We start from the raw sequence: 17977 nt of genomic DNA on the forward strand, positions 1-17977 counted from the left end.
CCGGGAAAAAATGCCATTTCTACCCACCCTTTACCTCTACTAAACTGCATTTTCCTGTGTGCTGAGGAAAATTCTCAATTCTCACACACATACTTACACACACACACGGTTTACACAGACACACAAGCACACATAGACCTGAGCTCTGGCCGGCAACCTTTCCCACATGTCTTTTCAATGTTTCATAACCCAAACCAGTTATTGGGCCTGCATGTGTTGAGAACGGCAGATCCTGTTTAATAGGGGCAGTAGTTGAGGCTATTAAGGACCTGATCGTTGTTAGTATTATCTCCATGCATTTTTACGGCACCTGTACTTTAATTCATCATTCCATCAGTTATTCATTCAGCAAACCCTTATTCCAGTGCTCTTGAACTTTAGCAGGCATCAGAATTTCCTGAAGGGCTACCGAAAACACACACTTCTGGGCCCTACTCCCAGAGCTTTTGATTCAAAACTGAGAATTTAAAAACCTGAGAATGTGCAATTGTAACAAGTTCCTAGTTGATGCTGTGACCTCCTCTGGGCTGGAAACTGGAGAGACAGAATTCTTACCTTCAGAAGGTAATCCAGCGGGGAGGGGATAGGATGTGCATTGGCCCAAACCCCAAAGCCACTCCTCCCTGTTCTCATCCTGGGGCTCTCTCCACTCAGCAAGCTACATTTTCCAGGGAGAGATCAAAGTTGGGAATTTCTGCCCTTGAGATCATTTGGGAGAATTTCACCCAGGCATCAGTTTCCCCTGGTTTGGGCTTTAGGAGGGAGAGGGGTATGTTTCTGGACAGTGGAATTTCCCTGAAGTGACACAAAACAGGCTATTAGCAAATCCTGTCAGTGCTGCCCAACTCGTTTTTCATTTTTTATTCTCTCTCTTTTTTTCTTTCTCTCTCTCTTTCCTTTCCCTCCCTCCCATCTCCCTCCTCCTCTCTCCCCTCCCTCTCCACTCTTCCTCTCCCCTCCCTCCCCACTTTTCCTCCCCCCTCCCTCCCACCCTTCCCTACCCTTCCCCCCACCCCCACCCTTCCCCCACCCTGCCACCCCTCCCCCACCTTCCCACCCTTCCCCCCACCCTCCCCTCCCCTTCCTCCACCCTCCCCTACCCTTCCCCCAGCCTTTCCCTTTCCCCCTTCCCCCTCCTCCTTCCACCTTCTCCTTCCTTCCTTCCTTCCTTCCTTCCTTCCTCTTTTTGTGTGTGTGAGACAAGGTTTCACTCTATCACCCAGGCTGGAGTGTAGTGGTATGATCTTTGGTCACTGCAGCCTTAACCTCCTGGACTCAAGGGATCCTCCTGCCTCAGCCACTTAAGTAGCTGGGACTATGAGTATGTGCCACCATGCCCATCTAATTTTTGTATTTTTTTGTAGAGATAAGGTTTCGCCATGTTGCCCAAGCTTCGTTTTTTACCTGCCGTTTTTTTTTGTTTTGTTTTTAGTTTGTCTTAAGATACCCATTGTTAGCAAGAGCTCAGTAAATAGGAGTTGATTGAATTTCCAGTGCCAAGAACAGAACCTAAAAGCAGACTTTGGACTTGTTCCTAACCTGTGTTTCTTTTTTCCTTTTCTTTCTTGAGACAGCGTCTCACTCCCTCGCCCAGGCTGAAGTGCAGTGGCATGATCTCGCTTCCCAGGTCCAAGCGATTCTCCCACCTCAGCCTCCCAAATAGCTGGAATTACAGGTGTGCGCCAGCATGCCCAGCTAATTTTTGTATTTTTAGTAGAGATGGGGTTTCACCATGTTGGCCAGGCTGGTCTCCAAATTCTGACCTCAAGTGATCCACCTGCCTCAGCCTCCCAAAGTGCTGGGATTACAGGCATGAGCCACCACACTGGGCCCTGTGTTTCTTTATGGAATACTTTTTGGGGGTTAAAAGGGAAATTGAAAGGAAATTTTAAAGGAAACCCTGCCCATCTATGGTTAAGCCTGTAACAACAACAATAAACACACTAAGAACTTACCATACATCAGGCATAGTTCTGCGTATACTACATATATTAACTCATTTAGTCCTCACAGTGACCAGATAAGTTAGAGACCTTTATTCTCCCCGTTTTACAGATGAGGGAAGTAAAACCAAAATGACCAAGGTCACAAAGCTAGAATATGTGTTTTTAAGCTGGGCTTTGAACCCAGGCCATCTGCCTTTTCTCTTCCACGTCTGCAGTCATGCTTGTAGGAAAGTTGGCTGGGCTTTCAGAAGAAGTTGCGAGTCTCTGACGTCTTCATTTCCCAAATTCAGGCCTTTTCCACTGTGGCAGTGGCAGGAGCTCTTGCTGAGAGCAAGGAAGGGCCAGGGGAGCCAGTCACCCACCGTCCTGCAGGATGGGAGGAGAGCTCACTTACAGTATGCTTGAGCCTCCTAATGGGGAATTTCCTGCCAGTTGAAGAGTGGTGTTTTCCCAAGTTTGTAGTGAACTCTTGGGGTTTGTAGTGTAGTCATGGGGCACATGACTCAGTTCCTACACTGGACTGTGATTGTTTTTAAAAACATGTTTTCCATTTTGCTTAGCATGACAAATGCACCCCACAGTGAACTCACAATTTTCAAAACTTGTCTTTGAGGAATGTAGTCTCTTGGTAGGTGTGTGTTTGTTGGGGAAAGGAGGGTCATATTTCTGTCTCTGGTGTGTCTTTTGTTGGGTTTTCCTTTTTTTTTTTTTTGGAGGCAGGGTCTTGCTCTGTCTGTTGCCCAGGCTGGAGTGCAGTGGCGCTATCTTGGCTCACTGCAAGCTCCGCCTCCCAGGTTCACGCCATTCTCCTGCCTCAGCCTCCCGAGTGGCTGGGACTATAGGTGCCTGCCACTACGCCCAGCTAATTTTTTGTATTTTTAGTGGAGACGAGGTTTCACTGTGTTAGCTAGGATGGTCTCCTCGTGATTCGCCCGCCTTGTCCTCCCAAAGTGCTGGGATTCTAGCCTTGAGCCACCGCGCCCAGCCAGGTTTTCCTTTTTTTTAAAGTTTTCTTCTTTGTGCTTACTTCAGCAGCACCTATACTAAAATTGGAATGATACTGAGATTAGTGTGGCCCCGGCCAAGGATAGCAGGCAAATTTGTGAAGCACTCCATAAAAAAAAGTAAAAAATGTAAAAATGAACTTTCTTCCTTGGTTTTGAAATCTAGCTAAAAGATTAAAATTTTTCCTAAGTTGGCCAGGTGTGGTGACTCACACCTGTAATCCCAGCACTTTGGGAGGCTGAGGTGGGTGGATCACTTGAGGTCAGGAGTTCGAGACCAGCCTGGCCAACATGGTGAAATGCCATCTCCACTAAAAATACAAAATTAGCTGGGTGTGGTGGTGCATGCCTGTAGTTCCAGCTACTTGGGAGGCTGAGGCAGGAGATTCGTTTGAACCCGAGAGGCGGAGGTTGCAGTGAGCCGAGATCACACCACTCCACTCCAGCCTGGGTGACAGAGCAAGACCCTGTCTCAAAAAAAAAAAAAAAAAAGCCCTTTTTTTTTTAAAAAAAAAATTATACTTCTGGTTCAGTGAATCTAGCCTTTTTCTGGATCAAGGATTCCTTTAAAAATCTGATGAACACTTTAAATTCTCTCCCCAAGAAAAACTTGTAATCACACTGCAGTAGTCAGGATAGGCTAAGTTGTGCCACAGGAACAAGCAAGTCCAAAATCCTAGTGACCTAAAAACAGCAGGTTTATTCCTCACTCACACTGTGTGTCCATCGAAGGTTGGATGAGAGTTTTGTTTCCACTTCACCATCCTCTGGGACCCAGACTGATGTGAAATCACCATCTGGGATGTTGCCAGTTGCCAAAACAGAAGGAAGACTAATGGAGGGTCTCATATTAGCAAGACACATTTTGGCCTCTAAGTGACATATATCACATCCAATCTCAATTCATTAGTTAGACTTAGTCCCAAAGCCTCACCCAGTCACAAGGGGGTCAGGAAGTTCAAGCCTACCCACATGCCTAGAAGGAGAAGAAGCAGAAATACTTGGCAAACATGAAAACCAATGCATGAGATTTTCTTTAAAACGGGGAAAACAAAACAAAACAAAACAAAACAAAAACAACCATGTTGGCCAGGTGTGGTGGCTCATACCTGTAATCCTAGCACTTTGGGAGCCAAGGTGGGAGGATTACTTGAAGCCAGGAGTTTGAGAGCAGCCTGGGCAACAAAGTGAGACCACCCCCCTATATCTACAAAAAATTTAAAAATTAGCCAGGTGTGGTGTGCACCTGTAGTCCTAGCTACTAGAGAGGCTAAAGTGGGCTCCTTGAGCCCAGGAGTTGGAGGCTGTAGTGAGTTCTGGTCTCTACTGTACTCCAGCCTGGGTGACAGAGTAATACCTGTCTCAAAAATTTATTTTAATTAAATTTTTTAAAAAATTGTAAAAGCTGTGAAATAGATCATATATATTGCAGTATAAAAGTTAGAAGTTGGTTTACCTTTAGGTAGAGAACTATTGAAAAAATGACTGGTGGCCAGGTAAAAAACTAGTAGAGTTAGATGCTGGCTATCTTTTTTTTTTTTAGAGATGGGATCTCGCTGTGTTACCCAGGCTGACCTCACAAGAAGCAATCCTCTCATCTCAGCCTCCCAAGTAGCTAGGATTTTAGTTGTGAGCCACTGCGCCAAGCAGATGCTGATTACCTAACGGGAGAATGTACTTTTAAAATTTTAAAGTTTGGCCATCTCTGGTATTTCACACCTGTAATCCCAGCACTTTGGGAGGCTGAGGCAGGGGGATTGCTTGAGACCAGAGTTTGTTTGAGACCAGCCTGGGCAACCTTGTGAGACCTCATCTCAACAACAACAACAACAAAATTAGTGGGGTGTGGTGGTGCATGCCCGTAGTCCCAGCTACTCAGGAGGCCAGAGCGGGAGGATCACCTGAGCCCAGGAGATCAAGGCTGCAGTGAGCTGCGTTCACACCACTGCACTCTACCCTGGGTGACAGTGAGACCTTGTCTCTTAAAAATAAGTTAAAAAAAATTGGCCTGGCACGGTGGCTCACACCTGTAATCCCAGCACTTTGGGAGGCTGAGGCGGGCGGATCACTTGAGCTCAGGATTTTGAGACCAGCCTGGCCAACATGGTGAAACCCTGTCTCTACTAAAAATACAAAAAAAAAAAAACCAATTAGATGGGTGTAGTGGCACGCACCTGTAGTTGCAGCTGCTGAGGAGGCTGAGGCACAAGAATCACGTGAGCCTGGGAGGCGGAGGTTGCAGTGAGCTGAGTTCCCTTGCCACTCCAGCCTAAGCGACAGAATGAGACCCTGTCTCAAAAAATAAATAAATAACAATAAAGTAAAAAAAAAAAAAGTTATAAAGTAACACAGAAGTATAATGGACTGTGAGATTACACTGAGAAAGTAAGAGAAGTATAGGTAATACAAAATGGTTGTCAGCCCAGAATAATTTAGACTTGACTCCGAAATACACATGCAGCCAGGTTCTTAAGCAGAGTGTCCACCCCAACAACCCTAGGAGATGTTATCAAACTGCATCTGTAGCCAGTTTCACCTCCATAACTCCTTTCCAGCCTCTCCACCCTTCTGCAAGGGTTCCTCTGCCAGTGTCTACTCTTAAGTCAGCCAGAATTCATAAAGAAAGAAACATAAGTTAAGCAAGTTTGACTAGTGAACCGGGAAAGACCAAAAAGGAGACTGCTAAGTTCACTTTATGGTCTCTGGTTAGGAATGGATTTTCCTGTCTGCTGATGGGTAACAGGGAAAAAAATCCTCTGTCTGTTCTCTTGCTGCAAGGCTGCAGCATGAAGCTTTGGTTGAACAGCGATACCCACTGAAAGCAATTAAGTGCCGTGGAATGGTACTGCCAGCCTGCCGGGGCTGGGGGGCATGTCACTGTCCTGCCCCACTTGGTGGAGGGCAGCTTTGTGAGGAGATTCAATGGGGGCATTCCAGGGGGACAGAGAAAGAGCTGTCGCCAGATGCCACACCCTAAATGCCAAGGGATCTTTTGGAAAATTGTGTATATACAAATAAGGGGGAAAAACATCAAGGATTTATTCATTTTTACAAGTCTGTTTTGTGGGGGAGGGAGGCATTTTTTTCTTTTTTTAAACAAGGTTAACTTGATTTAACTCATTCTGACAAGAGATACATGTGGAACTACTTTTAAAATTTTAAACACAAATTTATAATTACAAAGCAGATGATAAAAAATACACATAGCATTTGGAATGGAAAACAATGGAAGTTTTTCAAGAATAGAGAACAAACAATATTATCTATTCTCATTTAGTAACAACTCATCTTAAAATTATTCCTTTGATACATTTTTAGTTGAGAAAAAAATATTCTTTTTACTACAGAGAAGCACATGTCCATCTTAGAAAAATTAGGAAATAGAACAAAGGAGCAGGTACTGTCTGTCATCCAGAGTTACCCCATGGTTAGAGCTTCCTGACCATACCCCTCCTTTTTCTGTCCATATATACTTTTTTTTTTAAGACTGAATCTCACTCGGTTGCCAGGCTGGAGTGCAGTGGCGTGATCTCAGCTCACTGCAACCTCCCCTCCTGGGTTCAAGCGATTCTCAGCCTCCCAAGTAGCTGGGACTATAGGTGTGTGCCACCATGCCCAGCTAATTTTTGTATTTATTTTTAGTAGAGATGGGGTTTCACCATGTTGGCCAGGATGGTCTCGATCTCTTGATGTCGTGATCCGCCCACCTTGGCCTCCCAAAGTGCTGGGATTACAGGGTGTGAGCCCCTGCGCCCAGCCATACGTACTTTTTTTAAGCAAAAGTTAGGATCATATTTTATTTTGTCATCTGCTTTTTTTCATTTAATATCAGAAACTCTTTGTATGTCAAAAATAATATTATGTGAGTAATTTTTTAATGATTCATATTATTTCATTGTATAGCCATATTCCTAGAGGAATTTAAAAACCTACCCAGAAATTATTGATTAAAAAAAAAAAGCTAGCCAAAGTAAAATTAGTCATAGATATTTTTAAAATTTAATTTGTTTTGGCCGGGCGCGGTGGCTCACACCTGTAATCCTAGCACTTTGGGAGGCTGAGACGTGAGGATCTCTTGAGCCCAGGGTTCAAGACCAGCCTGGGCAACACAGGGAGAAAGCCAGGCATGGTGGCATATGCTTGTAGTCCCAGCTACTCAGAAGGTGGAGGTGGGAGGACAGCTTGCGCCCAGAAGGTTGAGGCTTCGGTTGAGCTGTGATCGCACCACTGTACTCCATCCTGGGTGACAGAGCAAGACCCTGTCTCAGAAAAAAAGAAAATTAATTTGTTTCTAGTTTTATATTTTGAAAGAAAATAATCAAAAGAAGAAAATTTAAATTTCTTATTCTGTCATTTAAAGATGTCATTATTTTTGTTTTCCTTTCAGTTCTTTCCCCCTCGTGCGTATATGTGTATGTGTGTTATGTGAAAAGCAAAATTCCTCATTAATTAAAAAAAAAATTTAAAAGCCTTTTGTGCCACACATTTAAAAATTGGAGAGGAGGTCTTATATTGGGGTTTGCTGAGATTCTCTGAGTATGATCCCAGAGACAGCACAGAGGGAAGTAAAGAGCTGTGGGGCTTGGCCTCTGTTCCGCCACCCTTCCCTGGAGCAGGGAGGAAGAAGCGGCTGCTAATGGCCCTGCATCTACTGCAAGGGCAGGCCAAAGGGAGGGAGAGTTGATTGTGGCAGTGGGAGATGGAATTGTACCCGATTAGGATTATGTCGAGAGCAGAGGAAATCATTTACACTCTCTAGGGAGGAGATGGACCTGAGGCAATTAGAATTTTTCCACCTCTAACTTTAGTGATTCTTGTATTACAGAGGCATACATGATAGAGAAAAGCACCTGATTTTTTTGATGCTATCAGGAGAATCATAAGACTTCTTTTGTCAGGGGGCCCCTCTGAGGCCCCTTGCAAGTGCTGATCTTCTGAGTTGCGGGGGAGGGGAGATGGGCACTAAGAAAGTGAAGCATTTTCTCAGAAATCTCTTAAGAGAGGAGGAGGAGACCATCCCAGAAGGTCTGCATATTTAATGCTCACAAAACCTATAATACGGGGGGACCCATCAGTGGTGCTGGAGAGATGCCTTGGCACTTGTGCCTTCCCCCAAGGTGCTGGAGGCGTCCTGGAGTGAGAGACCTGCTTTGCTGTCATCATTCTGTTTTGTTTTGTTTTGTTTTGTGACGGTGTCTTGCTCACCCAGGCTGGAGTGCAATGGTGCAATCTCGGCTCACTGCAGCCTCCGCCTCCTGGGTTCAAGCAATTCTCCTGCCTCAGCCTCCTGAGTAGCTGGGATTATAGGTGCATGCCATCACGCCTGGCTAATTTTTGTATTTTTAGTAGAGACAGGGTTTCACCATGTTGGCCAGGCTGGTCTTGAACTCCTGACCTCAGGTGATCTGCACGCCTCGGCCTCCCAAAATGCTGGGATTACAGGCATGAGCCACTGCACCCAGCCATTCTTTTTTTTGAGACAGAGTCTTGCTCTGTCGCCCAGGCTGGAGTGCAGTGGCGCAATCTTGGCTCACTACAACCTCTATCTCCTGGTTTTAAGTGATTCTCGTGCCTCAGCCTCCTGAGTAGCTGGGATTACAGGCGCCTGCCACCATACCTGGCTGATTTTTGTATTTTTAGTAGAGATGGGGGTTTCACCATGTTGGCCAGGCTGGTCTCGAACTCCTGACCTCAAGTGATCCACCCATCTTGGCCTGGGATTACAGGCATGAGCCACCACGCCCGGCCTGTTGTCATCATTCTTACATTCCTGCCCACTTCTATCCCATGTGTCTTTCACTCTGGCACAAGCATTTATGGAAATTGATCACATGGCTTCAATGTAAATTAACTGGGTGAGGCCCAGCCATGCCAGCTTCAACCACGTGGGCACCGTCCAGGGACCTCCCTGTTCCGCAAGCTGCCCCTCTGGCTGGTACTCACTGTGTGCCTCTCTGTCTTGCCTTGCCCACCCCCCAGGGTTCTGGCTGGTGTGGACCATCATCATCATCCTGAGCTGCTGCTGTGTTTGCCACCACCGCCGAGCCAAGCACCGCCTTCAGGCCCAGCAGCGGCAACATGAAATCAACCTGATCGCTTACCGAGAAGCCCACAATTACTCAGCGCTGCCATTTTATTTCAGTACGTACACCCAAGCCCCCATACCCACCCTCAGGAGCTCAGGTGCACAGACCCAGGGCTCACACTGAATATTGGTGGCCAGGCTCCTGTAGGCATAGGGGGTTTGTCCTCTCCCTGCCCCTCCGTAGAGCAAGGTCTTGAAAGTACAGGAACAAGGGGACACTCCTTCAGCACAGAGGAGCATGTGCTAGGGGTGCAGTTCCCTGAAGCCACTGGGCCATTCCAAAGCTCACAGTGGCTGGGTTCTGGCTGGATCTCTGCTTCTTTAGCACCTGCGTACATACCTACCTACCTAACTTCCTCCCTTCCTCCCTCCCTTCCTTCCTCCCTCCCTCTTTCTCTCTTTCTTTCTTTCTTTCTTTCCCTGCCTGCCTGCCTTTCCATCCCTCCCTCCCTCCCTTCTTTTCCTTCCTTCCTTCCCTCCTTCCTTCCTTCCCTCCTTCCTTCCTTCCTTCCTTCCTTCCTTCCTTCCTTCCATCCATCCTCCCTCCCTCTCTCTCTCTCTATTTCTTTTTTTTTTTTTTTTTTTGAGATGGAGTTTCTCTCTTGTTGCCCAGGCTGGAGTGCAGTGGCGCAATCTTGGCTCACTGCAACCTCTGCTTTCCAGGTTCAAGCGATTCTCCCGCCTCAGCCTCCAAAGTAGCTGGGATTACAGGCATGCACCACCACACCCAGCTAATTTTTGTGTTTTTAGTAGAGACAGGGTTTCTCCATGTTGGTCAGGCTGGCCTCGAACTCCTGACCTCAAGTGATCTGCTCGTCTCGGCCTCCCAAAGTGCTGGGATTACAGGCGTGAGCCACCGTGCCCCTGCCCTCCCCTTCCCTCCCCTCTTTTCCTTTCCCTCCCCTCCCCTCCCCTTCCTCTTTCTTTTCCTTTCTCTTTCTTACCCTTCCTTTCTTTCCCTTCCTTCTTCCCTCCCTCCCTTCATTCATCCATCTCTCTCTCTCTCTTTAATGGCAGATAGTCAGATAATAGAACAATAATTATTAACATTTATTGAGCACTTACTATATGCCAGGTACTGTGCTAAGCACCTAGTCCTTCTAGATGTGGAATTGAAACAATTGTGGGCCGGGCTCAGTGGCTCACACCGGGCTCGGTGGCTCAGCACTTTGGGAGGCCGAGGCGGGCAGATCATTTGAGGTCAGGAGTCAGTTATAACGTGAGTGAATTGAGACTTGGGGTTCATTGGCCTGAATTCCTCCCATTTTGCTTATTTCTGTGTGATATGCCTGAGCAGAGGCTGCCATGAAAGGGGCGGGTTGGGGGGTGGCATTGGGACTTCTGAGCACCAAGAAACTTAGTGACTCTCTGAAGAGCACTTCCCGGACTTCCCTGGGGCTCCTTACATGTGACCTCTCATATGGTCAGTGGAGGCCCAGCTGTGCCAGTTTTCCAAAGCCAGTCTACAGTGTATTCTACAAAATAAACTTTCACAATTGTTTCTTTACAATTGTTTCTTTTTTTCTTTTTAAGACAGAATCTCGCTCTGTCACCCAGGCTTGACTGCAGTGGCGTGATCTTGGCTCACTGCAACCTCCTCCTCTGGGGTTCAAGTGATTCTTGTGCCTGAGCTTCCCAAGTAGCTGGGACTACAAGACCATGCCATCACACCTAGCTAATGTTTGTATTTTTAGTAGAGATGGGGTTTTACCATGTTGGTCAGGCTGTTCTCAAACTCCTGAGCTCAAGTGATCTGCCCGCCTCGGCTTCCCACAGTGCTGAGATTACAGGCGTAAGCCACTGTGACCCACCATTATTTCAGTTCCACATCTAGAGGGGTTAAGTGCTTAGCACAGTGCCTGGCATATAGTAAGTGCTCAATAAATGTTAGTAATGTTATATTATAATTAAATTATCTGTGTCATAAGGCATTCAGCACATTCAAAAGATAACTCACCTAGCATGTTTTTAATAAGCCTTGGATGGCAGAGGCCCCTTACCCTTTGCCGGTCACCCATCTGCTCCTGATCTGAGTCAAGGTGAAGCTTGGTTTGTGTTTCCAGACCACCTCCAGCCACAGTAGAGACAACAGAGATTTCTAACCCCCTAGCAAAAGACCCTACATAGTGCATTTGGAAGGTTAGGAGGAAGAAAAGTAGTTAAGAAGTCTGAAGTTAGGGACCCTGGCCCTGAGGCCTGTGGGACTTGGATGAAGGACACACTCTAAGCAAGAACATGAGACTTGTGTGCATGTGGAAGTGGGTCCATTCCAGGCAGAAGTTATTTTTTGGCCATCTACCACGTTTGCCTAATTCTCTGCCTTAACTCCCAACAGGCGTGAAGTCCTTGCCTACGAAGCAGCTTTAGGGGCTCTCAGATTTCAAGAAGCTAGGTTAGGCCCTTCCCAAACTGCCCCTCTCTCTCTGCAGAATTGCTCGCAGCTGTCTCTCCTCTGCTCACAACCAAGAGCTGTAGCCATCACTTGTTGGGTGCTCTGGGGTGGGAAGAGACAATGCAAATATTCAGTGGGAGCTTTGCAGTCTGCCTAGAACAATGACCAGTGCAGTAATTTCTCCTTCCTACCTCCCCATTTTAGGGTTTTTGCCAAACTATTTACTACCTCCTTATGAGGAAGTGGTGAACCGACCTCCAACTCCTCCCCCACCATACAGTGCCTTCCAGCTACAGCAGCAGCAGCTGCTGCCTCCACAGTGTGGCCCTGCAGGTGGCAGTCCCCCGGGCATCGATCCCACCAGGGGATCCCAGGGGGCACAGAGCAGCCCCTTGTCTGAGCCCAGCAGAAGCAGCACAAGACCCCCAAGCATCGCTGACCCTGATCCCTCTGACCTACCAGTTGACCGAGCAGCCACCAAAGCCCCAGGGATGGAGCCCAGTGGCTCTGTGGCTGGCCTGGGGGAGCTGGACCCGGGGGCCTTCCTGGACAAAGATGCAGAATGTAGGGAGGAGCTGCTGAAAGATGACAGCTCTGAACACGGCGCACCCGACAGCAAAGAGAAGACGCCTGGGAGACATCGCCGCTTCACAGGTGACTCGGGCATTGAAGTGTGTGTGTGCAACCGGGGCCACCATGACGATGACCTCAAAGAGTTCAACACACTCATCGATGATGCTCTGGATGGGCCCCTGGACTTCTGCGACAGCTGCCATGTGCGGCCCCCTGGTGATGAGGAGGAAGGCCTCTGTCAGTCCTCTGAGGAGCAGGCTCGAGAGCCTGGGCACCCGCACCTGCCACGGCCGCCCGCATGCCTGCTGCTGAACACCATCAACGAGCAGGACTCTCCCAACTCCCAGAGCAGCAGCTCCCCCAGCTAGAGCAGGTCCTGCCAGCACCCAGCAACTTGGCAAAGCAACCAGGGTAGGGGAGAACCACGAGAGAAGCATTAAGTGACTTTCAAAGACTTTCAGAGTACAGCCACTTGGTTCCTTTTTGTTTGTTTTCCTTCTCCTCTCCTGCATTTTCCTCCATCTCCAGGTACAGTTCGGGGTGTGGATGCCTCTTCCTCCACAAGGGCACAGTGTTGTGGAGGGCTAAGTTGGTTCTGTGACTCATTCCTCATACCCTAACTCCATCTCCTTTCTTTAAAGTCAAATCTCACCTACCTGTTTGGGTCAGAGAGATGTGTTTTAAAAGCCCCCAAGGAAGGAGGCTGGGACTGTGCCCTGACATGATTCTTGGTGATGGAATAGGTTTGTGCTCTGATTCTAGTTTAAGAGAACGTTGCTGTATCTCAGTCCAGGAGAGGCAGCCCATCTTGGCCCTGGATGAAGAAGGAAACCCACAGAGGCCCAGGGCTTGTCATTGGGCTGCCAGTGTCTGCCAAGCCAGCATTGAGCTAATCCTGTGGGAGGATGAGAGCTACTGGGCCGTTGTATGATAGGTTGGTAGGGGCTTGTTGATCTGTCAAATTCCAGGTGACAAGATCTATGCACCCCATGCGTCCTTGAGGGGCCTCTTCCCCGCAGGCTCTGGCTGGCCGCAGGCTGGTTCTGGTGTGAAAGGTTATACTGCCTTTTCTTTGTTTGTTTGTTTTTTTCTCTAAAAACAAACAGCAAAAGACAGCTGAAAACAAGAACTTCACCGGTGGGCAGGCAAGAATTCTCTTCTGGAAAATGACGTTTGTGGCTCTTTCCCAAGTTGGCCTTCAAAGAGCCTGCCTGCTGTTGAGCCAGAAGATGTCTCGTGTGAAGGCTGGGGTGGCGGCTGTCTTGGAACCTCTGTGAGCAGGAGGCCCTAAGCCGCAGCAGTGGATAGAGGTGCAGCTCTCTGCCTCTCTGCCCTTTGGTCTGTGTTCACAGGTGACCCGTGTCAGCCTGCATCGCAAGCACACACCCTGCGGGCCTTCAAGTCTCACTGTTCCGTATGAGGAAACAGACAGCGGACTGAGGAAGCGATGGCCCCAGAGAAAGGGCCCCTGTAGCCTGGCTCTCACACAGTATTTTATCTTTGATTCTGAATAAATATTTTTTGTGGGGTTTTTTTTTTTTTTTTGGTGGCAGTTGTTTGTTTTAAACTGACCACTTGGAAGAAACACCTTGGTTATCTGTGGTTTTCATGCCTTGTCCCTGCCTCTACCCCCACCCCTTTTGAGTCGGGTGACTCATTTTTCTGTGTAGAGACTCGGTGGCCCAGGCAGGAGGTGAAAGCAGCCATCCGGAAGGCCCTGGGGACCCTTGTGCCTGTTGCTCGCCTTCAGGTCACCAGCTGAGCTGCGATAGGAAAATCTGAATGGAGGCAGCAAACAGCCAAAACAAACATTCCCCACCCGGCCCTGTGCATATGAAGTCTTTCTTCCCCCAACTCTTGAACGATGATGATATTCAGACGAAGCATTGATGTTATGGAAGAAAGAAAGAAACAAACAAAATATATATATATATGTCCAAAAACAGACAAATCCAAGGGTGTGAGGTAAACGAGTGTCTGCATTTAGATTCCACAAAACCAAAATCCATGTTGAACAAAGTTAAGTCCGTACACAGTGACTTTTTGGGTGAGCCGTGTGTGTCTGTCTGTTGTGTGTGTGCCTCAAGCCCTGTTTTCCTGTGAAGATACTTTGAGTGGCAGCCATTCTCTCCACGTGAACCACACGTCTGGAGCACAGACAGGCCTCTCAAGGTCATTGATCTTACGCATTTACTGTTTACCGAACAAATGTCTGACTGTGTACTCGGGTGTACTCCGCAGCATTGTCGACTGCAGTCCCCTGTGTTTGCCAGAGATACTGTGCTCGAAGTAGAGGTTTTACTCTACTCATCACTGCGATTTGCACATTGCTCCGTGGACACTCGGAGGCCTGCGTTCTGTTCCCTATAAATGGAAGCGTGCTCTGAGCCTGTCTGCCTCCCTCGGCTGCTGCTGGTCCTCAGTACCAGCGCCCGGGGGTGTCCACAACCACTTGGGACAGAAGAAGGTGGAATTTCAGACAGAAGCTTGACTGGGTCTTCAATGACAGGCTTGGACTAGCTGTGGCCCAGACATCGGCCCTGCCCAGAATTGCCAGGAGGAGGCTTTGCAGGCTCTAGAGGAGCCGCAGGGCCTGCCTGCCTCTGGTGAGTCCAACAGGCACAAGCAAGCTGGCGTGTGGCCAGAGGTAGCCGGAGTGTGTCACAGCCCCTCAGATGCCTTTCCTTCCACCTTTTTTTATTTTTTAAGAATCCCAAATAACTCACTGAAGTGTCTCAAAGGCGAACAAGTTTTACCAAAATGAATCCTTTTTCAGTTAACAGATCAAATGGATGAGTTCTGAGCCTCTCAAGTTCCTTTCCCCAGTTAGAGTGGGGAACTGGGCAAGTGTTAACTGTGGGACTCACTGCAGCGTCCTATCCTAAAGGCACGAGAAGACGGAAATGCAACCTGCGGAGCTGGGCTTGGTTCCCAGGTCACAGTTTGGCCCCCGCTACAGGATGCTGCCCTGCTCAGAGAGAGATTTAATAGGGAGCTGAAGGAATCGTTAGGGGGCCAGGGAGATGTGACTGAGGCTGGCTTTCCACGTGAATGAGACGGGGTCGGTGGAGGGTTTGGTGCTACAGCCAGTCAGAAGATTTGCAAATGCGAACACATTCCTGTGTGAGGCACGTTACCCTTTGTCAGTTATTGTGAATATGTGTATTTTAAGCAATAAGATTCAGCTGGTCAGACTTTTCTGGGCAGTCTCAGTGACGCATTTCCTGTGCTGTGATTGTTCTGAAGACAGAGTGGCTCTAACCACTGTGAGAAGCCCAAATAAAAATTGATCCCAAAAATGCTACTGCTCTTTCTTGCTGCACTTTGTTCCCTCTTCTTCTTCCTCAGTCTTCAGGAAATTGCACCTCAAGATCCTAAACCACAAGCACTTTTCTCCACACAGAGACTGAGAGGTTGTCACACAGTCATTGAGGATAGGGCCCTGGGCCAAAGAGAAACCACAGGGCCAAGGGCAGCTGGACAGTGCTGCTGGGTCCACACTCTGTTCTGAGGAGTCCTCCCCTCTCTCTGTCAGGGTGTGTTCCTGATGTTTGGAATACTTTGGAAAGTCCCACAAACAGGCTAAAATCAGATCCCGAGAAAGCAGAGACAAGTTTTGTCAGATACCCTGTTGCTAAAACATGGCTTTTTTTTGAGACACAGTCTCACTCTGCCGCCCAGGCTGGAGTGCAGTGGCGCGATCTTGTCTCACGCAGCCTCTGCCTCCCAGGTTCAAGTGATTCTCCTGCCTCAGCCTCCTGAGTAGCTGGGATTACAGGTGCCTACCACCACGCCCGGCTCATTTTTGTATTTTTAGTAGAGACGAGGTTTCACCATGTTGGCCAGGCTGGTCTCAAATCTCCTGACCTCAGGTGATCCGCCTGCCTTGAGCTCCCAAAGTGCTGGGATAACAGGCCAGCCACCCTGGCCTGGGACTATAGGCATGAGCCACTGTGCCCAGCTATTTTTTTATTTTTATTTTTTAAATAACAGAGATGGGCTGGGCGAGGTGGCTCACGCCTGTAATCCCAGCATTTTGGGAGGCCAAGCTAGGCAGATCACTTGAGCTCAGGAGTTTGAGACCAGTCTGGGTAACATGGCAAAACACCATCTCTACAAAAAATACAAAACTTGGCTGGGTGTGGTGCTGTGTGCCTGTGGTCCCAGCTATGTGGGAGGCTGAGGTGGGAGGATGGCTTGAGCCCAGGAAGTGGAGGCTGTAGTGAGCTGAGATCACACCACTGCACTCCAGCCTGGGCAACAGAGCGAGACCCTGTATCAAAAAAAAAAAAAAAAAAAAAGAAAAAAACTATATGTATGTATATATATATATATATAGAGAGAGAGAGATAGGGTCTGACTGTGTTGCCCAGGCTGGGCTCAAGTGATCCTATAGAGTCTAACTATGTTGCCCAGGCTGGGCTCAAGTGATCGTACTGGCTTGGTTTCCCAAAGTGCTGGGATTACAGGTGTAAGTCACTGTGCCCGGCCAAAACATGGCATTTAAAAGAAAGCAAGCACTCTGAGAGATCTTTTTTGTTGATATGATAGACATGGGGGTATATGCTTGGCCTTGGAATTTAACACACAGTATAATGTATCGAGTTGCCCACTTTCTGCCCAGCACTGTGTCAGAGGCTCAGGATAATGTCAAAGACATAGAAGATGAGGCCTCTGCCCTCCAGAACTTACAGTCAGAAAGACAAAACATGGCCGAGCATGGTGGCTCATGCCTGTAATCCCAGCACTTTGGGAGGCTGAGGCGGGTGGATTACCTGAGGTTAGGAGTTCGAGACCAGCCTGACCAACATGGAGAAACCCCGTCTCTACTAAAAATATTAAAAAATTAGCCAGGTGTGGTGGCATGCGACTGTAATCCCAGCTACTTGGGAGCCTGAGGCAGGAGAATCGCTTTAACTCGGGAAGTGGAGGTTGTGGTGAGCTGAGATCGCACCATTGCGCTCCAGCCTGGACAACAAGAGCGAAACTCCATCTCAAAAAAAAAAAAAAAAAAACATACTTGTGTGAAATAGTTAATTAACAATATAAGTTAAGTTTGAGGTGAAGTGAATGGTACAGATTTGGAGCTTTTCAGGGAATAGTGGGAGGTAGTTTGAGGTCTTGAATGCCAAGCAAGAGGTCTCGGAGCTGATTTTAGGTAGTGAGGAAGCCACCAGTGTGCCAGAATCTGTCATTGTGGGCCAATGATTCTTTCCTAATACAAGGAGAGTTCCTTTGTTCATTTTACCATCTGCTTAAGACTGACCTCTTAGGTGTAAGTGCTTTTTTTTTTTTTTTTTGAGATGGAGTCTCGCTCTGTCGCCCAGGCTGGAGTGCAGTCGTGCCATTTTTGCTCAGTGCAACCTCCACCTCCTGGGTTCAAGTAATTCTCCTGCCTCAGCCTCCCAAGTAGCTGGGATTACAGGTGCCTGCCATGACGCCCAGCTTATTTTTGTATTTTTAGTAAGGATGGGGTTTCACCATGTTGCCCAGACTGGTCTCGAACTCCTGGCCTCAAGTGATCCACCTGCCTCAGCCTCCCAAAGTCCTGGGATTACAGGCGTGAACCACTGTGCCTGGCCAGGTATAAGTCCTTGTTTGAAGAACAGCTTGCTACTTCTCTGCCCAGGGAGGACACCCCTACCCAGCAAGACTGCAGATGGGCAAAGCAAGGTAGTACACATCCTAGGAACCCTCCAGGAAGGGGTTCCTGCCTCCATAAGTGGAGTGCTCACTGGTGGGCTGGCACCCAGGGGGTGCTGGCAAGTGAGTGTTGTCCTCCCTAGGCCCTGGCTTGCCCAGCAGTCAGCGCTGTTTTTTCTGAAGGCCAGTTTTAGCCAGACATGCCGCCACCCCTGTCTTTGACCCTCTGGCAGAGGACATTCCTGGCCTCTCGGTGACACTAGTGGAGTGGTTGCTGACTTGTTCTTTCTAAACTGTTGGGTTCCTTCAGGCAACCCCAGTAGGGCCATGCTAG

The 17977-nt window shown here is 48.2% G+C and overlaps 1 protein-coding gene and 1 pseudogene across 3 annotated transcripts in view, besides 1 other annotated feature; both read left to right on the top strand.

The window, feature by feature from the left end:
• WBP1L (WW domain binding protein 1 like) overlaps nucleotides 1-15299 on the top strand; it is a 72315-nt gene extending 57016 nt beyond the window's left edge. For all 3 annotated transcript variants that reach the window (NM_001083913.2, NM_017787.5, XM_011539913.3), the window contains exons 3-4: nucleotides 8930-9091; nucleotides 11632-15299. In NM_001083913.2, coding sequence (NP_001077382.1) covers nucleotides 8930-9091; nucleotides 11632-12368 — 899 coding nt within the window. In that variant the 3' untranslated portion in view covers nucleotides 12369-15299. The remainder of the gene's footprint in view (nucleotides 1-8929; nucleotides 9092-11631) is intronic.
• On the top strand, nucleotides 2966-3068 carry RNU6-1231P (RNA, U6 small nuclear 1231, pseudogene; annotated as a pseudogene).
• Nucleotides 14457-14990: an enhancer, noted in NCBI's record as "H3K27ac-H3K4me1 hESC enhancer chr10:104575177-104575710 (GRCh37/hg19 assembly coordinates)". NCBI's record gives its function as "activates a minimal SCP1, AML or CMV promoter by ChIP-STARR-seq in naive H9 embryonic stem cells {active_cell/tissue: H9 hESC(naive)}" and the evidence as "EXISTENCE:reporter gene assay evidence [ECO:0000049][PMID:30033119]".
• Nucleotides 15300-17977: the final 2678 nt, after the last annotated feature.

Source organism: Homo sapiens, chromosome 10 (genome assembly GCF_000001405.40).
Source record: "Homo sapiens chromosome 10, GRCh38.p14 Primary Assembly".
In the NCBI taxonomy this organism is placed as follows: Eukaryota; Metazoa; Chordata; class Mammalia; order Primates; family Hominidae; genus Homo; species Homo sapiens.